The sequence below is a fragment of the Homo sapiens genome, chromosome 4, assembly GCF_000001405.40.
Source record: "Homo sapiens chromosome 4, GRCh38.p14 Primary Assembly".
NCBI lineage: Eukaryota > Metazoa > Chordata > Mammalia > Primates > Hominidae > Homo > Homo sapiens.
Genome location: NC_000004.12, coordinates 74181618 through 74204361, shown reverse-complemented (window position 1 = coordinate 74204361; position 22744 = coordinate 74181618). Strand labels below are relative to the sequence as shown.

At 34.6% G+C, this 22744-nt stretch overlaps 1 protein-coding gene across 20 annotated transcripts in view, besides 1 other annotated feature; it reads right to left on the bottom strand.

Moving 5' to 3' along the window:
* Positions 1-22744, bottom strand: part of MTHFD2L (methylenetetrahydrofolate dehydrogenase (NADP+ dependent) 2 like) — a 188540-nt gene that overhangs the window by 98738 nt on the left and 67058 nt on the right. For 19 of the 20 annotated variants that reach the window (NR_147097.2, XM_047415712.1, XM_047415715.1 and 16 more), the window contains 2 exons: positions 4416-4568; positions 2992-3099 (listed from right to left, as the gene is read on the bottom strand). Coding sequence is in view for 18 of the 20 variants with exons in the window: in XM_047415712.1 (XP_047271668.1) it covers positions 2992-3099; positions 4416-4568 (261 nt within the window). In the remaining 2 variants the exon portion in view is untranslated. Of the gene's footprint in view, positions 1-1728; positions 1899-2991; positions 3100-4415; positions 4569-22744 lie in introns of all 20 variants that reach the window. The other variant, XR_001741223.3, reaches the window with a different exon arrangement.
* Positions 12916-13210: an enhancer, noted in NCBI's record as "tiled region #11080; HepG2 Activating DNase matched - State 9:DNaseU". NCBI's record gives its function as "activates a minimal TATA promoter and a strong SV40 promoter by Sharpr-MPRA in HepG2 cells {active_cell/tissue: HepG2}" and the evidence as "EXISTENCE:reporter gene assay evidence [ECO:0000049][PMID:27701403]".

Genomic DNA, 22744 nt, shown 5'->3' with positions numbered 1-22744 from the left:
CATGCACCAATAGCTTACTTAACTTACTATATGTTAGGCACAGTAATTAGTGATTTACATTAATATTTCATTTACTTTTCACAATAACCAAGTTGAGGAGATATTAATATTATTGTCATTTTAGAGATGAGGAAAGCGGAGGCCTACACAGATTAAATGACTTGCCCGAGATCACAGGGCTTGGTAATGGAGGGGGCCTGACTCCATGTCTATCCTCTTAACCACAAAGTCAGAACCCAGCTCCCCAGAATGCCTGTTTCCTTGCATGGCCTTAGATGAGTCCTCTGAAGTCTCTAAAGCTCATTTCCTTTAGCTGTAAAATGGGAATAACATTAATATATGCTAGGATTACTGAGAATTAATGAGGATGGTTTAAGAGAAAGTACTGAGCAAATCACGGAGCAATACACTGTTGCTTGTTATGTTACAGATAAAAACAACATTGCAAATGAAAAAAAAAAAAACTGCAAATTGGCTCTTGGTCAAAATTTTCCAAGAAGAAATAGTATACTTAGGTAAACATTACTGATTGTTTTATCTTGTGATATGGCTGGAACAGGAATCTCACCTAAATCTCACTTTCAATTGTAATCCCCAGTGTTGGAGGTGGGGCCTGGTGGGAGGTAACTGGATCATGGGAGCACTTTCTCATGATTTAACACCATCTCCCTTGGTGCTATTGTTGCAACAGTGAGTTCTCATGATATCTGGTTGTTTAAAAGTGTATGGCACCTCCCCCATCTCTTCTTCCTGCTCCAGCCATGAGAAATGCTGGCTCCACCTTTGCCTTCTGCCACAATTATACATTTCCTGAGGCCTTCGTAAAGGCCTAGGAGATGCCTCCATGCTTCTAGTACAGCCCGCAGAACCGTGAGCAAATTAAGCCTCTTTTCTTTAGAAATTACCCAGTCTTAGGTATTTCTTTACAGCAATGCAAGAACAGACTAATACACCTTGCTTAGGTAAGACACAGAAATTATTACATAAAGGCAAATAAGAATCACTATCTTTATTTACAGAGAGAGAGAGAAAGAGATAAGCAGCAATAGACTAAGCTAGAAGTGAACAGTGAAACTAGGAATGCAACTTTGGAGATGGGTACCATGAAAACTGTCATACCACTGGATTTGGGCTAAGAGCTCTTCAAAACTAAGGCTTTTTAAAGTTATCTGGAGTCATTATCAAGTCTTAATTTACTGTGATTCACATATATATATGTATTGATTTCTGGCAATATTTAATTCTTTAGGCATAGAAAGGGAAAATATTATTCAAAAGTGTCATCATTCATCATTTTAGATAAGTTAATACTGGGATTATTTTTCCATAGAGCTTTGTGTTTTAAAAATTATGTCATAAGTATCATGTCAATCAAGATCCTAAAACAAGTATTATTGAAAGTTTGAGATCAGGAAACTCGAATTCAACAAGGTTAATAATAAGAAATCTATATATATATGCTGTGTGTGTGCATGCATGTGTGCATGTGTGCGTGTGCTGTACATGATGAGCACATAGGTGTCTATCATTCTGGTTAAATATTAGAAAGCAAGCAGCAAAGTAGCCCATCCTCTTCTTTGGAATTAGAGAAACCAATGAAGTACTGTATCAAAAATTAGGGGGAGAAAGATTAGAAGTAATAAATGGTAAACAAAGTACAACACGTCTCTAACACATAGATAAACCAATAACTACTTCTATTAAGAACATGAAAACTTGGTGTTTTACCTAGATTAGAACAAGATGCAGAATTTAGCAGACAGTGATACGCTGAATAACCCTTGTGCCCTCCTCCCACAGCACTGGCTCAGACAACCACGAACAATGCCCCATCACCCCTTTGCTGTATTTCCTTTTCATTCCATCTCCATTTCCATTTCTGTGGTGGTTCAGTCAGGCTGGTGGGAAAAATTTTAGTTTTAATAGCCACAAACCTTGTTGGAAGGTCTGAGGGTTTGCATAACTTCAGTAATAAATCAGTCTGAAGGCAGCCTAGTCCCCTTATCTTTAGTTAAATAAACTAGAGTAGAAATAAAGGAATGTGGAGAGTTTACCTAACTAGCTTGTTTACTCGTGTGGTCCTAAGACTAACCTTTGATCTACCATGGGTGCTTAATTGCTTTCTACTTGGGAAGTCCACAATGTCAATTACACTCTAGTGGTGTTGACCCAAGCCTTTGTCAATTAATCTTTACTGAATAAACATAAGTCTTGCTGACTGATTGAGACCATAGTCGCAACTGTTTACAGCACTGTGCGTGGAGTCTGTAAGCGGCCCAGATGCTCAGCTGGACTGGTAAAGCAGAATATCTGTGTGTCAGTGTACTTTATTCATCCATCGTTGGGTCAGGGTCTGTGGGACAGACCCCTGCAAATTTCTGGGGAGCTATTCTGTATCTAGCTATTAGACTGCTGAAGAAACCAAGGTCTTGGGATGATGTTCAGATGACCAACACCTGGAATGGCTGCATGTTCTCTAAGGCTAACACATCTTCCTGGGCTTTGTCAGTGACTTGGAGTGTCACTACTACTCATAGGACAATGACTATTTGTTTAACCTATATAATCAGATAACAACTCTAAGCCTCAGCTTTCTTGTCTGTAAAATAAACTAACTAGCTGATTTCTAAAGTGCTAAGACCTTGCCACTACAGGAATTCTACATCCAAGAGATGTCTTGTTTTGTATTTCCTGAGGGCATGTGAATCTTTTGTATCTAGTAGCTTTGCACCTTTCTTAATGTCTAATTGTTAATTATTTAAACAAAGTGCATATAGCCAAAAAAAAAAAAAATAGAGAAAATGGCCACATATTTTCAGTAATTCCTACAGTCACTTTCAAGACTCTCACATCACTAAATGAGGAATAAAGGAGACTTTGAACTGCATAAACCCACAAATATAATAAGCTGCATTATCAAAAGTGTTTACTTGATGATGTAAGAAGTAAGAATACTGCGAGAGAGTGTAGAATCTGCAAGGTTCTACCTACCTCCTGGCCGTTCATGCTCTCCATCAGTGTGTAAAAGCATGGCAATAGGCATCCCTACGTTCTTGGATCTTCCAGCCACAACCACATTTTTTCCAAATGTTTGAATTCCTTAAAATACAGAGTTCGGTTTAAATGCAGAATTGACAACAAGAAGTAAATTAAACATTTGTACAGCCAACTGAAACATTCTTTTAAAAATTTCTAATTAAATCTGAATTATTATGTGGCTTATCTATAATATGAGCACATTCATTATTTATAAATAATTCATTTTATGCTTCTTTGATTTGTCACTTCTTCTCTGATTATGTACTCATTAAAAACCACAGACATTCTTAAGTTGACATTAAGTTGCTTTTAAACATTGAGAGTCACATTAAGAGTTAGAAGAGTAGAGTTTTAACATATATTAACTGCTTATAAAAAAAGCAAAGTACAACAATGTCGAACTTAATTGGCAATCAAATTTTGAGCAACGCTGGAACAAAACAAGTAAGAAAAGAGGCATTTTTCACAAAGCTCATGCATTTTACTCCATAGGAAAGAAGCACTAAACTTACAGACTTAGAAAGATGTAAAAAAATAAAGCCTGTAGAACCTTCTACTTCTTTTGGACTCAGTTTCTTCATAAGTAAAGCAAAGAAGTTAGAACTAAGGATTTTCCAATACTAACAGTGTAGGAGTATGATTCTAGGATCTGTTTTCCCTTGGAAGTTTTTCTTTCTCAGAAAGAAAACTTCTTTTGTAAGAGTCTGTGAGAGCATTACCGTATCCAGTACAGTACAAGGGTAAATGTTTAAAATTAAAACCCAAGCCAATAGAAATGATAACTATGTGATCAGAACATATTTTTAAAGGTACAGAAAAATATATTTTAGAAAAGTTTTCATCAAAATGCATGAAGTTTACATTTTAAAGGCCGACATATACCACTACTATGTGGAAAATTCACTTCCTATAAGTTGCAACTGCAGTTATCTATAATCTGGCTAATGCTCTTCGTTTCATTTTATTTTGGATTTTTTTTTCTGTTTGTTTTGTTTGTTTTGTTTTGTTTTTGAGACAGAGTCTTGCTCTGTCGCCCAGGCTGAAGTGCAGTGGCATGATCTCGGCTCACTGCAAGCTCCGCCTCCCAGGTTCATGCCATTCTCCTTCCTCAGCCTCCGAGGTAGCTGGGACTACAGGTGCCCGCCACCACACCTGGCTAATTTTTTGTATTTTTAGTAGAGACAGGGTTTTACTGTGTTAGCCAGGATTGTATTATGTTTTGACTTCTACAATTTTATATCTCTCTGTACACTGACGTTTTATGGATTATGATTTTCTGTCACTCTATAGGACTGAGGTAGTCCCATCAAGTCTCAGTGCACAAAGGCTCAGCTCAGCACCTAGCATCCATGTCCTGCAGACCACAAATTACCAACCTGTTCTTTTTATTATTTCCCAAACAGCACTGGCAGTGGCAGGTATGAGAGAATGCTGATCAAGGCACAATCTTCCAATATTGATAATATGAAATCCATCTACATCTTTTTCTGGGGCAATTCCATTGCATATTGTTCGCTCATCAACGTGGTCTGAAAAATAAATAAAATTTGTCTAATTTTAAAATTGTTATTTATTTGGTAGCCTGAAAAATGAAATCTGAGAATCTAAAGCCACATCACTTATAATTCGGCTCTAAAAAAGGTGTAAAGTCATTATTATTATTATTATTATTATTTGCCACCAAAATAGTAAGCCAAAGTGCTCTTGACTGATGGCTGTAATGAACTGCAGTTGGAGTATATGCTATTCCAGAGCCAAAAGTGGCTGGACCGGTGAAAGAAAAAAAATTGTGAATTAAACAATACCAATGAGATCTGGTAATAGCCAGGTGTCATGTCTTTGTTTCAGTAAGTTTGTATATTTACAGGGTTTGAATCCACATTTCTATGACACAAGACAGTTCTCCTAATAGGCTTCTATTAAATACTTCGAATATTGGAGATTAAAAGGGGTTTGTTAGTGTTAAGAATAGTCATAACATCATGAGTTCTTAGCTTCCTCTTAAATGACATAACAAAAAATCTAATATAAAACACACACGCACACACACACATCTTTTCTCTAAAGCATTGTCACAGTGAAATAAAAAATATTACTATGATTTGCTATATGGAAGAAAAAGAACACAACCTGAGTAATAAAGTAATCAAATGAAATATGGGATGCCAATCATCTCATTTTTTAAAAGTAAGTATAGAAATATAAAATAGGCTCCTATTACTCTATGCAGAGTAGTTTAAATTATCACTAACCTAACAATTAACCCATATGCCTAATATACTAAAAGTATATTTTCTATGTAAAAGTTTATTCGGCCATTATATAATGCGATTTAGACATAATTCTTTAAAACATTATAAAAGTCCAAGTTCAAACTTTTCAGAAAGCTATGCCTTGGGTTTTATATCTTTTGTATTCTAAAAGTGTGCTACTGCTACCTTAAGTCAAGCTAATTAACCATAATTAGATTACAAAAGTCCTTGAAATATATAAAAGTATTCATCTGAATCATATTCAAATAGAAACTGAGTCTTTGGAAAGTCTCTCCATTCAATAGTTTTTCACTTTTAATAACTGCATTCAGTCTAGAATGTTTTAGCAGGGCCTCCATCTATTTTCTCTATAGCTTGGAGATCATCATATAGATTCTAGTCAAACTTTTAAAAGAATACATATTTAACTTATTACATGAGGGTAAAAATACTGGTTCTTTTTTAAAAAAAATCTAGGTGATGATGATGATAAGTCATTTTTAAATCACCTACCACTCACGCGGAAGCTTCATGACATGGATATTTTTTACAATGAAATGAAAAGCTTTATAGATGAAAAGAAAAACAACTATATTTGGAGTATCTATTTTTAGCTAGGACTCAAATTAGTTTATTTCTAAGTTCAAAACTGGCTAATATATGCATGGGCTGGGCTACTGATTAAAAAGAACTCAACAAGGACTCTTTGTAGATTTTAAGAACCATTCTCCAAACAATAAGCCTCAATTACACTGTATGTTGCCATCTACCATTTTTTGCGCTCCCATTCACTGAAAATAACATTAAAGCTGTAACAAATATTTCAGTTCACACACCAGCTGAAATACTTGAGAAGAAATGTAAGCATCTGAAAATCTGGAAGCCAGAACTAGAGACTGGTGGTTACAGATCTGTCCTCTTGCATATGCCAACTTCAACTCAGATCATAATTCAGATCACCATTTTGGTTTGTCTTAAATATTTAAGTATTACTAGTTTAAAAGACAGATGAATGGACATACAAAATGTATAGCAGATTCATAAAACCTGAATCTAAAAGGAAAAGAGCTCCATATGAGTAGATGAAAAAAGTGAAGATCATAAAAATCCAGAAAACCAATTCATTTATCATTTTTATGTAACTCTGCTATCTCAGCAGTGTATTAAATCTAACATATATCTTTTTCCAGGAGAGATCTACCTATTACTATGTAGTATACAGTATATAGCAATAATGTGAACTACTCTATCTACATTTAAAAAGTGCTTTACAATGATTATATTACCTTTACATCAATTTCCTTTTAATCTTCATAGTTACTGGGGATAAAAGTAGGAAAGGTATGATCATGCCCATTTTAAAGACAAGTTCAAGGAGTTAGAGTCAATCTCAAATCACTACTAAGAATCCAGAATTTAAATCCATATCTTTTTGTTCTAAGATCAGTTTTTCCTTTTGTATCATACAGAAGTCATAATAAATATTAATCATTTTAAATACCATTAAAAATTAAAATCACAGAGGCCTCCCTCCCAACTCCTAATAAGACATTTGATAACTCTAAAATATCCCAAGAAATGTATTGTTTCTCCTAGGGCTCCAAATATAACACTATTCCTAGATTAAGTAATACTTGTCTAAGCACATGCAAAAAAGCATCAAACATTTTACATTTAGGATTACAGGTAATCCTACTTCCTTTTGTTATATGAGTAAGAGAAATAAATACATTTCCTGTTTGTGACTGACTGCTACTAAAAGTCTCCCAAAATCTCACCCTTGGGGCACATAACTTGAACAGAAAAAACAATCGTGAGACTTAATAGCATCAATTTTCTCACAGCAGTTATACAACATGTTTGATTCACAGGATACATTGGTAAACAACCAACCATTTAATATCTTACCCAAATGAATGATAAAACTGGTTTTATTCACTTTGTGTTTTCCCCCCTTCTATTTAAAGTTATGAGAAGTCATTAAATCATGCTAGGAAAAACAGAAGTCATCAAATCAAAATCTGAACCACTGTAATAAAACAGCTCAGATAATGCCTTTAGGACACTGTAGATTTACTATATTGAATGAATATATGTTTTGTATGGGTTTTTTTTTTTTTTTTTTGAGACAGAGTCTCATTCTGTTCCCCAGGCTGGAGTGCAGTGGTATGATCTCAGGTCACTGCAACCTCCGCCTCCTGGGTTCAGTAGATTCTTCTGCCTCAGCCTCCCCAGTAGCTGGGACTATAGGCATGTGCCACCATGCCTGGTTAATTTTTGTATTTTTAGTACAGATGGGGTTTCACCATATTGGCCAGGCTGGTCTCAAACTCCTGACCTCGTGATCCACCACCTCGGCCTCCCAAAGTGCTGGGATTACAGGCATGAGCCACTGAGCCTGGCCACTGAATACATATTTTTGCGATGTATTTATAATATGCTTAATTGTCTTTGGACAATGAACAGAAAAAAAAAGGAACAAACAAATTACTGGCTTATTTTCCACCTATAGATTTTTACAACATTACTGTTTAAAAATGCCACCTTCCACTTCCCCCACATCTGTTGGATAAGTGCAAGCTCATCCGTATAGTAAACATTGTGTCCTTTAGCTTATTTTTCCTATAGTCTCTTCTCTGTGTGTTCCATACCTTTACCAACCATCATCATCACATGCCCTCCACTCTAGTCACACCAAACCATGTCCTTTCCCCAAGCCCTTAGCATTAACTTCTGCATTGCTATTGCTCATGATGATTTTTTTCACTACTAATCCTTTCTTCTCAGTTTTTTTCACATCCTATTCATTCTTCAATGCATTGATCAATTGCCCCCTGTTGAAATGATCACAAATTGAAACAATATTTTTTTCCTCTGCTTTCCCATGGAACTGCTATAAAAAATACTTAGCACACTAGTTCAGTTAATGATATTAGTTGTTTAATTATCTCTATCATTTATGAATGTGAGCCTTTTAGGACACAGTCTGTCTTAAACTGATTCACTTATAACTACTCCATCTCAGTTGATGGTGTGAAAAAAAAAATCTTGGGCCCCCAAAATCACTAAGCTAAAGGGAAAATTCAAGCTGGGAACTGCTCAGAGCAAATCTGCCTCCCATTCTATTCAAAGTCATCCTTCTGCTCACTGAGATAGAGGAATGTTCTGATTGCCTCTTTTGGAAAGGCTTATCAGAAACTCAAAAGAATACAACCATTTGTCTCTCACCTACCTGTGACCTGGAAGACTCCTCCCCTGCTTCAAGTTGTCCCCGCCTTTCTGGATGGAACCAGTGTACTTCTTACATATGTTGATTGATGTCTCACGACTCCCTAAAATGTATAAAACCAAGCTGTGGCCCAACTACCTTGGGCACATGTTTTCAGGACTCTGAGGCTGTCTAATGGGTGCATGTCTTCAACCTTGGCAAAATAAACTGACATTTGTCTCAGATTTTCAGGGTTCATAATGGGAAACCCATCCTTCTGTGCTACTTGCCAAGAAAACCTGGAGTCATCTTAAATATCCCTCTTTCTCTCACACCTAACATCCAAACCATTGGAAAATCTGTTGACTTTCTTCATAATAATATATCTAGCACTTTATCAGTCTCACCATGTTCATGATACTACTCTACTTTGAGTGAACATTATTCTTCCTGTCAATTCTTGAAACAGCCTCCTAATTAGTTTCCTTCTTCTATATGTGCAACCATACAATTTATTCACAAAACAGCAATAGAGTTATACCTTTGAAGTACATATTTGATCACATTGCTTTTCTCAAAACCCTGCAATGTTATTACCTTAAAAATTGCAAACAAGGCTCTACATGATTTTTACTGCACCAAAACCATAGCTATGTGTCTAATCCCATCACTGGTTACTCTCGTCTTCTCTCAATCTGTGAGCATCAAGCTGGTCCCCTTGATGTTCCTTGAAAACATGAGGCATTTTGCCACCTTAGCTATAGCTTTCTATCTGCCTGGAAGGCTTTCCTAAAAAAGAACTGTCACCTAGGCTAAATCCCTACCTTCTTTCAAATGTTTTCTTAAATACCACATTCTCACTGTTAAAAGAAAAACTTCAGCCAAATTAAATTTAAAGATGTTTAATTGAGCAATGAACAATTAACGAATTGGGCAGCCCCCCAGAATCACAGCAGATTCAGAGAGACTCCAGAACAGCCACGTGGTAGAAGAAGATTTGTAGACAAAAAAAGGGACACAACACACAGAAATCAGAAGTGAGGTACAGAAACAACTGGATTGGTTACAGCTCAGTGTTTGCCTTATTTGAACATGGTTCGAGCAGCTGGCTACACTTGATTGGCCAAAACTCAGTGATTGGCACAGGTGTGGGCCACGATTGGTTTACACCTCTACTTGTTATAGTTCACAATATACAGAAAAACCTTTAGGCTAATCTTAAATATGTAAGGAGGCAGCTTTAGGCTAAACTTGATTAACATCAGTGAGGACAATTCTGACCACACTATTTAAAAATGTAGGTTCAGTTTCTAGTGATTGTGAAGTAGCTTATATTGGACTAAACTTCTTACAGAAAACAACTGCAAACTTCAGTAAAATCATTTGAAAAAATACAAAAACAACTATCTGAAAAAAATGGAAAGTCACTAAAAACAAACAGATGTAGAGGAAAGTAGATAGCTTAAAGAAAAAAAAATCACTGAAAGAGTTCTCCACTTTAAAAGCTTTTCTAGCCACAGGACAGCTAGAATTTGGATAGAAATATTCAGTCCTACTTGCTTAAGAGATCAAAAGATGAAGTTTGGGGCTAACACCGTAGTTGAAAATTGAAGCGATATATCCAGGAAAGGAGAAAGCCACAGAAAGGAGTCCCATACATTGTATACAAATTCTGTATCTCTGAATGACCCCTGAACAAACACACAGGAAACAAACCCCAAGAAGCTCATCTAAGGATAAGATAACTTACCAGAGATTGTACCTGTGGTTCACCAGAGGAGAAGCAAATCTTTAAGTCCCCAATCTGATACAGGCATTTATAAAAAACTTTACAATTAACATCCTACTTAATAGTGAAATACTGAACCTTTTCCCTCAAGATCTGAATAAGGTCCACTCCCACAATTTCTAGTTAATGCTTTGTTGGCAGGCCTAGTGGGTGTAATAAGATAACAAAAAAATAAAGAGGCATAGAGATCAGAATAGAATAAGTAAAATTCTCTGATCACAGATGGCATAGTTGTTTATGCAGAGCATGCTTAAAAATTTATAAAACAATTAATAGAACTAATAAAGTGAATTAAGCAAGATTACAAAGTCAATATAAGAAAACAATTGAATTCCTGATACAAGTAGTAACTATCAGAAAAATGAAATTTTACAAATACTCTTTACAATAGCTGACAAATCATAAAATGCTTAGGAGTAAATTGTTTAAAATTTGAGAATAACATCTATAATAAGAACTACAAAAGACTGCTGACAAATGACGTAAATAAATAAAAGGCATACCATGTTCATAGATTGGAAGACTCAATGATGGTAAGATGTCAATTCCCAAACTGATTTATAGAGTCATTGCAATCATCTCAATCATAATCCTATGTCGTTTTTTGTTAGATTCTTAAATGTATATGAAGATTTAAAGGACTTAGAATATCCAAAGCAATCTTGAAAACAGAGTTAGAAGATTTATAATACCTGACTTCAAGACTTGCTACAAAGCTACAGTAATCTAGACAGTGTGATACAGGCATAAGAACAGACAAATAGATCAATGGAACAAGAAAAGAGAGCCCAGCTTTAGAGTCACACTTATAGAATGTGAATGCCACAAAAATGCCATAGTAATTCAATGCGAAAGCAAAGTGTTTTCAACAAATAGTACTTGAACAGCTAGGCAGCTATATTGTAGGGGGTGGGGTGGCAAAACTTACTATGATGACTATTTCATACTACACAGAAAAATTAACTAGAAATCAATTAGAAATCTAAACATAAAAGTTAAAATTATATAGTTTCTAGGTGAAAATTTAGAAGAATATCATTGTATGCTGGGTGTAAGAAAAGGTTTCTTAAAAATAACACAAAACACATAAAGCATAAAATAAAAATACCACCAATTAAACTTAAGAAAAATTAAAATCTTATGCTCATCAAAAGGCACCATTAAGAAAATGTACAGGTAAGCCAAAGACTGGGAGAAAATATTTGCAAAACACCTATCAGTTAAAGAACTTGTAACCAGATATATAAAAAAAAGCACTCAAAGTTAAATCATTAAAAGATAAATAATATTTTTAATAAATAACATTTTAAAATAACATTTTAAACATTTTAAACAGCCACTTTACAAAGTAAGATATTGAAATGGAATATGTATACGAAAAAAATCAGAACAGTGGTTACCTGAGTGTGAGGATGAAAGAGATAGCGACTGTCTGGGAAGGGGCATGAAGAAACTCAGTTGACAAAAATGTTCCATAATATGATAGGGGTTTAGATTACATGAGAGTTTGCATTTTTCAAAACTTATGGAATAATACATATAAGATGTGTACATTTCAATGCATGTAAATTTCACATAACATAAATAATGAACCTTAATGATGTATACACTAAAGTTTTAGGGGTATATTAAGTGTTCTTACCTTTAAATGCTTCAAAAATAAAATGGACGGGTGAAGGAACAAATGGATAGGTATGTGACAAAACAAATATAGCATAATGTTAACAACTACAGAATCTAGTTTGAAGGCATATGAGTGTTCATTGTACCAGTCTTTTAGTTTTCCTGTATGTTTGAATTTTTTATAACAATATGTTGGGAGGCGGTCAGATAAAAATACAACCTGTCCTCCAACATCCTATCCCTCCTACCATGATCTACTTCTTCCTTTTTCCGATAGCATATCAACATCTAGTAAATATATTTGTTTATTTATTATATATATTTTTTAACCGCCTCCTCTGCTACTCAAAAGGACAGAAATTTCTGTCTTTTTCTTTTTCACTGATCCACAGTACAAATAATAGTGCCTGGACCATAGAGGCACTCAATAAATATTTATTGAATAAATGGCTACTATTAACCCTAATTTATAGATGAAGAAACTGAGACAAAATTAGTGGGCAGCTGGACACAGTAAGAAGAACAGGCTGCCATAAGGAAAATATGTCTGATCCTTCCATATCCTCTAACATCCTCCTTTTAAAAATACAAAGAGGTCAGGCACGGTGGCTCATGCCTGTAATCCTAGCACTTTGGGAGGCTGAGGCAGGTGAATCATGAGGTCAGGAGTTTGAGACCAGCCTGGCCAACATGGTGAAACCCTAAAAATACAAAACCCTAAAAATACAAAAAATTACCTGGGCGTGGTGGCAGGTGCCTGTAATCCCAGCTACTCGGGAGGCTGAGGCAGGAGAACTGCTTGAACCCGGGAAGCGAAGGTTGCAGTGAGCTGAGATCAAGCCAATGCACTCCAGCCCAGGCAACAGTGCAAGACTCCATCTCAAAATAAATTAATAAATAAATAAAAATAAAAATATAAAGAAAAACCAAAGGTGGCTTATGTTAAAAATCATAATTTTTCATATTGTTGCATCTACCTTATTGACTATCTGGTACTATTACATCCTCCAACATAAATTTAAGGTGAAAGATTCATGTTTCTTGTTTTTCATTTACTTCTTCCTTTCTGGACATGAAAAAAAAAAACGACCAGGTAAAGTTTTATGCTAATAGATCAAAGTCCACATCCTGAGTGTGTATACAATGCCCTTGAAAATTCAATCATTTATTTACTCAACAAATATTTACTGAATGTCTACCATATTACCAGTAGGGGTTTAGAATATATAAGTGAGGACCAGGCACAGTGGCTCACGTCAACACTTCAGGAAGCTGTAATCCCAACACTTCAGGAGGCTGAGGTTGAAGGATCACCTGGGGTTAGAAGTTTGAGACCAGTCTGGCCAACATGGTGAAACCCCATCTCTAGTAAAAATACTAAAATTAGATGGGCATGGTGGCCGGCACCTGTACTCCCAGCTACTCAGGAAGCTGAGTCAGGAGAATCACTTGAACCCAGGAGGCAGAGGTTACAGTGAGCCAAGATCACACCACTGCACTCCAGCCTGGGCAATACAGCGAGACTCTGTCTCAAAAAAACAAAAAACAAAAATGAATATATAAGTGAGGCAAACAGACAAAATTCTTGCCTCTGGAATTTATATTTTAATGGAATAAATGTCTGCCTACTCAAACTACCTATAGTCTCTCAATGATTTATTTTCTAAGAGTAAATAAGAGATACTTTTGGAAACTGTGTTCACTGTTCTCAAGCCAATAAATATTTAAGTTACACCCTCTGGGATCTACATCAAGATTTCAAGACAGCAAATACTTATCAGATGCCTACCACTTTCCCAATATTATTTAAGAGTTGTTTCAACATCAAGGGACAAGGGGACAGAAAAGGAATGGGAACACACTCTAACCTCGCTGAGCTACTCCACCCCAAATTCTGAGAACACAGTGGAGCTTGGAGGTAGACTGGAAGGAGTTCTCTAGGCCGGAAAAAGGTGGGTCTGGTTCTCCACCCTTCTGAGCCTCTCCTACAGCCACGAAAACTGCCCCAGGATGTCCTCAGGCAGGCTTACTTCATAGGATGTAAAAAAATAAAAAATAAAAATTAATGAAGTTGGAACCTACACATCACGCAAAGGTTGCTAACCTTTACCCTATATAATTATCTTAAGTGACCTGAAGAGTATATGGAGATCCTAAAATTACCTTGTTCTTGTAAGCAATGTTAAGGACACCTTGGTTTATTGAGCCCTTGGTAACTTCTGTCAAATATACAGTACTGTCCTTGAAATAGTGTATTCTATAGAAGAAAACACTTAGATTAGTGAACAGGCCAATTCTAATAAGCTTCTTTTAAACACACAAGGAGAAAGAAAAGATGTTTTTTTGGGAATCTTGCTTGCAAACTTTTCAAGGACAATGATTTATTCTCAAATTGCTTTCTGACTATTTGGTCAGTACCCTGACTAAAAGGTACCTTTTCCCCGGGTACCTAGTACAGAGTTACATAAATTCTAGGTAAATATTCGTTGACCTGGTAAATGAATGATGAGGGTCAGAAAACTATCATATAACTAGATATTTTAAAATACTTTCCACAGAGAAATATCCATCTTCCATAGGGCCTTTTGATTTTGGTAAATGCTTTGTCATCATTTCAAGCTGAATACACTCAAAAACAGATGAGGATATAATGGTAAAGAAAAAAATAAAAAAGTAACTTGTTCAAAAAATTCATGATTTTGAAGATATTGTGAAAAGCAAATCATCTCAAGTTAGATGATATAACAAATTTTTGATAATAACTGTTCAAAAAGATGTAATTCTATAGATTTGAGCCACTAAAAATCTCTGGGCATGGTTTCCACATGAATATGAATGAGAGAGAGAGACATAAGTGGCTATAGACACCAACCAATCCCACTGCTATGTAAATTATATCTCAGTGATTTACTCACCTTCCAGTGTAAACCATTAATCTTTAAAAAAAAAAAAAAAAAAAAAAAAAGGAAGAAAAACACTGCTTGCTCAATGCTGCCATCATGTGGTTAACATACTTTACATGCAAGAGAGTGGTCTTCACTTTTCTTCCCCTTGCTCATAAGCTCTTTGATATAAACCTCCCTCTGAGAAAGTTTTTCTTTTTAAGTTGGATAAATAATATTGTGTGAGGATGGCTTTGCTTCTATGTGACTAAACAAATAATGTCAAAAAGAATTTGAAACAAAATATTGGGTATTTTTTCTTTGAATGAACTTCAAGTGCAGAAATTGGATTAATCATAATTCATGGGCTTGTGACACAACCTCAATATTGGTCCAAACACAATGCAATTTAAATTAGTTTTTCATAATAAATTAGGCATATGCAAATCTACTACCCCAAACAAAAGTTATCGCCTTGATCTATATTTAACCTTAATCTATATTTAACCTTATAGTCTACCCAATTAGTCCATTCTCCGTCCTGCTCCAAACAGATGTAAATTTCATCCTGAGTCCTGTGCCTGTCATTCTTTTGAGTCCTTTACTATATAGTTTTATTGTATTTTTTCTATTTCTAGTAGATTTGCATTTTTGATAAACAGCTTTATTGAAGAATATTTGAATATAATAGACGGCATACATTTAGAGAGTACAATTTGATAGGTTTTGATATATATATACCCATATATATACATATGTATACACATATATATATACCCATATATATATACATATGTATACACATATATATATACCCATATATATATACATATGTATACACATATATATATACCCATATATATACATATGCATACACATATATATATATACCTATAAAACCAGAATCCTAGTCAAGATAATGAACATATTTACCATTCTGAAAACTTTCCTCCTACTCTCTTCATAATCCTTTCCTCTCTTTCCTATCCCCTCAGCTCCAACTATCTATAAACATTTGTTATGGACTGAATTATGTCCCCCCGAAATTCATATATTAAAGCTGTAACACTTAATGTGATTGTATTTAGAGATAGGACTTCTGAGGCCAATTAGATTTAGATGAGTTCATGAGGGTAGGGCCCTTGTGATATGATTTAGTGTCCTTATAAGAAGAGAAACCAGAAAACTTGCTTTCTTCATCATGTGAGGACACAATGAGAAGGCTCTGTCTGCAAGCTAGGAAGAAACTTCTCACTAGAACCCAACCATGCTGGCACCGTGATTGCACACTTTCAGCCTCCAGACTGTGAGAAAATACATTTCTGCTGTTTAAGCCTCTCATTCCATGGTATTTTCTTATGATAGATGAAGCAGACTAATACACCACGGATATGCTGTCAATTCATTAGTTTTCATTTCATATAATTTTATTTAAATGAAATCACAGAGTATATACTCTTGTCTAGATACTTTCACTCAGCATAATTACTTTGAGATTAATCTATATTGTAATATGCATCAATATTTTGTTCCTTAATATTGCTGAGTAGTATTCTATTGTATGGAATATCACAGTTTATTTATCCATTGACCTGCTAATGAACATTTGGGTTGTTTCTAGTTTTTAGTTATCACAAATAAAGGTTCTATGAACATTCATATACAAATACTTGTATGGACATATGTTTCATTTTCTTTTGGGGAAATACACAGGCACGGAATGGCTGGACCAATGTGTGTGTGTGTGTGTGTGTGTGTGTGTGTGTGTAAATACACAGGCACAGAATGGCTGGACCAGTGTGTGTGTGTGTGTGTGTGTGTGTGTGTGTGTGTGTATTTAACGTTTTAAGATACTGCCAAACTATTTTCCAGTTTTCCAAAATGTACCATTTTGCATCTCCACTACAGGAGAACATGATGGTTACTATCCCTCCACATCATCACCAACACATAGTATAGTCAGTTGATATTTTAATTTCAGCCATTCTAATGGGTTTGCAGTAGTATCTTGTTAATACTTTTCATTTGAATTTCCCTAATGACTAATGATGTTGAACATCTATTCATATGCTTATTTACCATTTGTATTTCTTCTTTGAAGTGTCTGTTCAAATACTTTTACCATTTTTGCTCTTGCTATTCTCTCTGTCATTATTTTTAGAAAGTTTCAGCAATGATTATTTCAAAAGTTTTTTCTGTCCTGTTTTCTCTTCTCCTGCTATTCCAAATGCATGTACCTTTTGAAAATATCCCACAGTTCTTTGACATTCTATTCTGGAGCGGTTTGGGTTTTTTTCCTCTTTGTGTTTTATTTTGAGAAATTTCTACTGGCATAACTTCAAGCTTACTGATTCTTTTCCTGGCCATTTCCAGTCTACAGTTGAGCCCATCAAAGCATTCTTCATTTCTGTTAGAGTGTTTTTAATTTCTAGCATTTCTTTTCTAGATATTCTTTTGCATTTGAATATCTGATTGTTCCAGCCAGTACTATGTGTTGAAAATCGCATTCTTTTCTGTACTTATTTGCCTTTCCACTTTTGTCAGAAATCAGTTATCAATATAAGTGTGAATCTCTTTCTGGACTTTCTATTTTGTTTCATTGATCTGATTTTCTATCTTGATTCCAATACTACATTGCTTTGCTTACTGTAGCTTTATAACTCATTTTGACATCAGGCAATGTTAATCCTCCATGTTACTCATTTTCAAAATTGTTTGGACCATTTTAGGTCATTTGCAGTTCCATATGAATTTTATTCAGTTTCTCCCAAGTTTTTACCAAAGGTCACCTTGAACCTACAAATCAGTTGGAGGAAAATTGGTATTTTAACAGTATTTAGTCTTCTGATCCATAAACATGGTTTATTAATCCATTTATTTAGGCCTCCTTTAGTTTGTCTCAGAAATGTTCTGTAGTTTTTAATATATATAGGTTTTCCCCATCTTTTGTCAAATTTATGCCTAAGGATTTCATATTTTTGATGCTATTATAAATGTATATTTAAAATTTCAATATCTGGTTGAAAGTATACAGAATAAAAATCGATTCCTCTATATTAAGCTTGTATCCTTCAATCTTGCTAAACTCACTTATTAGTACTAGTAGCTGTTTTTTTTTTTTTTTTTTTTTCATGGATTCCCTTGAATTTTCCATGGGACAATCATGTCATCTGCTTTTCTTGTCTTATTGTGCTAGTTAGAATTTCCAGTGAAATGTTAAATAGACATGGTAATAGTGGACATCCTTGACTTTCTTGATTGTAAGAGGAAAACACTCAGTGTTTCATAATCAATTATGATGTTGCCTATAGATTTTTCATACATTCCCTTTATCAGCTTGAAAGAGTTCTCTTCTATTATTAGTTACTTGAAAGTTTCTCATCAGGAATTAATGATGAAATTTATCCAATACTTTATCTGTATCTATGGAAATGATTATATGATTTTCATTTTTAGCTTGTTAATATGGTAAAATACATTGTTTACTGTTCTAATGTTAAATTGTATTGGATTCCTGAAAGAAAACACATTTGGTCATGATGAATTGTTTTCTAAATTGTTGGATTTGATTTGTTAATGTTTTGTTAATACCTTTTGAATCTATCTTCATGAAGGATACCGACTCATAATTCTCCTTTCTTGTAATGTCTTTGCAAGGTTTTTAGTAACAGAGTAATGCTGGCTTCAAATGTGTTAGAAAGCATTCCCTCTTCTTTATCACTATTCTTCCTTAAATATTTGGTAAAATTCACCAGGGATGCCATCTGGACATAGAGCTTTCATTGTGGAATGGATTTGAACTACAAAGTCAATTGCTTAACAGAGCTATTAAGACATTTCTTTTTGAGTGAGCTTTGGTAATGTATATCTTTCAAGGAAGTTGTCCATTTCATTTAACTTGTCAAATTGGGATAATGTTACTGAGAATATTCCCTTACTGCCCTTTTAATATCTGTAGAATCTGTAGTGATATTACCACCCTAAGTCCTGGTATTGGTCAGTTGTATCTATTCTTTTCCTTGATATGTCTAGCTTTGGTTTTACTGATTTTTATGAATTTTCTATTTTACATTTCATTAATTTCTACTCTGTTCTTTATTATTTCTTTTTTTGTTTTTATGTTGTGTTTAATTTGCTCTGATGTTCCTACCATCTTAAAGTATAAGATGAGATTACTGATTTCTGACCTTTTTTTCTTTTCTAAGATATGTGTTTAGTGCTGTGTATTTCCCTTAAGTACTGCTTTAATAGAATCCCACAAACTTTGATGTGTTACATTTTCACAAAAAGTTCAAAACAATTTCAAATTTCTCTTTCATTTTCTTATTTGACACAGGGGTTATTTAGAGGTATGCTATTTACTTTTCAAATATTTAGGGATTTTCCAGATTTTTTTTTTTTTTTTTTTTTTTTTTTTGAGATGGAGTCTCGCTCTGTCGCCCAGGCTAGAGTGCAGTGGCTTAATCTCGGCTCACTGCAAGCTCCGCCTCCCAGGTTCAGGACATTCTCCTGCCTCAGCCTCCCGAGTAGCTGGGCCTACAGGCATCTGCTACCACGCCCAGCTAATTTTTTTTTGTATTTTTAGTAGAGACGGGGTTTCACCGTGTTAGCCAGGACGGTCTCGATCTACTAATCTCCTGATCTGCCCATCTTGGCCTCCTAAAGTTCTGGGATTATAGGCATGAGCCACTGTGCACAGCCTTCCAGAAGGTTTTGTTACTCATTTTTAATTTAATTCCATTGTGGTCAGAGAACATGTTTTGTGTGACATGAATTCTCTTAAAATTGAGATTAGTTTTATGGCCTAGCATGTGGTATATACTGGTAAATATTCTACATTAACTTGAAGAAAGGGTATTATCTGCCATTTGGGGGAGAGTATTCTATAAATTTTAATTATGTCAAATTGGTTGATATCATACTACAAGTATTCTATATTCTTTACTGATTTTCTGTCTACTTGTTTTCTCCATTATTAAGAAGTTTTGAAACATGGCTATAATTTTTTATTTGATTATTTTTCCTTGCAATTATATTAGCTTTTGGTTCATGTAATTTGAAGTTTTCTTATTAGGTATATAAGATATTAAGGTTGTTATTTACTTTTGATAAACCAACTCTTTAATTATTATGAAATGACCTCTTTATCCCAAGTAATATTTTCTGCTCTGAAATATACTTTCATATTAAATAGCTCTTCCAGCTTTCATTTGATTCATGTTAGAATGGCATATATTTCCCAATCTTTTGCTTTAACCTCCCTGTGTCCTTATAGTTAAGGTGTAGTTTCATGTAAGCAACATACAGTTGGGACTTGATTTTTAACCAATTTGACAACCTCTGATGTTTAATTGGATTATTTACATTACATTTTCTAGGAATAAATTTAACATCTTTGTCGTCTTTTCTCCATTGTTCTATATTCCTTTAGATTAACTGAATATCTGTGATCATTCTACTTTTTCTTATCTGTTGGCTTATTAGCTATAACTCTTTGTTGTGTTATTTTCATGGTTGCTTTCGGTTTCATATTATACATGTTTAACTTATCACAGGCTAACTTTAAGTAATATTATGTCATTTCACATATATTACAGGAATCAAACGATAATATTCCACCATTTCTTCCATACAAACTTTTGTGCTATTGTTGCCATACATTTTAATTGTATGTTACAAACCACAAACTACATTGTTTTTGGCTTTGGTTAAACATTAATTATCTTCTAAAATAATCTGAATAATAAGAATAAGAACAATATATTATAACATATATATACATGAATAATATATATTTATTCAGGTAGTTACCACTTCCAGAGCTCTTAATTCCTTGGACAGATCCATATTTCCATCTAGTATCATTTCCATCTAGGTGAAGGACTTCCTTTAATATCTCTTTTTTGTTGTGGTTGTTGAGATGGAGTCTTGCTCTGTTGCCCAGGCTGGAGTCCAGTGGCATGATCTTGGCTCACTCCAACCTCCACTTCCCAGGTCCAAGCAATCCTCCTGTCTCAACCTCCTGAGTAGCTGTGATTACAGGTGTGCACCACAATGCCCAGCTGATTTTTGTATTTTCAGTAGAGATGGGGTTTCCCGATGTTGGCCAGGCTGGTCTTGAACTCCTGACCTCAAGTGATCCACCCACAAGGGCAGGGATTACAGGCATGAGCCACCACACCCGGGCCTTTTAGTATTTCTTAGATCATAGGTCTGCTAGTAAATAATTGTTTTTAGTTTTGAGCTCTCTTCCTCACATGTCTCATAAAAGACTTTTTGCCTTTGTTTTTGAAGGTATTTTCACTAGGTATAGAAATTTGGGTTTACAGGTGTTTTTTTTCCTCTTAATACTTAAAGATATTGTTCTATTGTCTTCTTGCTTGCATTGTTTCTATCAATAAATATTCTGTCACTGTCCTCTTTGTTCCTTTGTATGTAATGCCCTCCCCCAACCCCCTTATTGCTTTTAAGATTTTTTTCTATCAGTGGTTTTGAATAATTTGATTATGGTGTTCTTTGGCATAGTTTTCTTCATGTTTCATGAGCTTGAGAGTTTGGTGAGCTTCTTTGATCTGTGAGTTTATAGGTTTAAAAAAATCTGAAATCCCAGTCATTTATAAAAGGGTATTTATTTCTTATTCATGTCAAGTCCAATAAGAATTCTACTGCCCTACTTTTTGTAATTTACAACCATCTGTAATACCTAGTTTCCAAGAACAATGCAACAGAAACAGAAGTGAAGGAGGAGGGCACAACAGCTTTTAACCATCTCAGTCTGGAAGTGGTTCCAAAAATGTCTCTTCCTTTTACAATCTATTGTCCAGTAGTCACATGGGCTCAATCTAATTGCAAAGAGAAGCCCCAAAATATAAGAGGACATGTGGATATTTGGAGAACTTAAATTGTCTCTGTCACAGAAAAAAAGGAGGTTCCAAATAGAGAACAACAGAATGAAAACAACTTAGGGGCATGGGCTGGAAAAGCTTCCCCAAAGCAGTGACATTTACGCTAAGATCTAAAGGGAGAAAGAACTCAGCCCTTGTATGTTTGAAAGGTAACCAATATAGTGAAGAGGTAAGAGGCTAACACATTATTCAAGTTATAAAATATGCATTCCTAACGTGGCCTGTATACAATAGATACTATATAGCTATAGAAAACTTTCATGGGTGCGGGCACAAGATCTTCACCAATCTTGATCAGTTAAATTGTTTATGCACTAATCTCTTACATGTAGAAACATATGCAGAAGGATGAGACTTAACACACAAAAAAGTGGTGCTGAAAAACTACAGGATTCACTCATTTCTTCAACAGCATTCACTAATTGTCTAACAGATACAAGGCAGATTACAGGGTTATAATGTTTACTGCAATTCTCCCTATGTGGAATTATTCTATACACTCAAACACAGAACTGGGGTTTCTCCCATAGAGAAAGGAAATATAAATTCTAAAACAAAGTAAAATTAAAATTTAGAAACCATCTTGAATTAAACAGAATAAAATAGGAAAGAGTTCAGAATGATAAAAAAAAATTCCCACTCTGGTCAAACATTTTAATAATAATCAGTGTTCTGGATACATAAATTTGATAATTTCTCATGAAAAGTAATTATAGCAATACTTTTTTTCCCCAAATGAAGAAATGAGTTTTAGACAAATACACATATCTCCATGCTTACTAGTTAGGTCGATATCCACCTTTTTATGCCTACTAATTATTCGATTATTTTATGTTAAATCTGCGCCATGAACTCAAACTCTTCTAACTCACCTTCTTTAGTTTTATCCTTTAATCCTATAGTTCATTCTCATTTCTTTGTCCAATTCCCTTGAATAAACTGGAAGGTGCTAATCCTCAAAGGCTTCAAACTAGACAACTGAAGAGAACATTTGAAATAGATAGAGTTTACCTAATTGTGTTCCAGAAATAAATGAGAAGTAGACT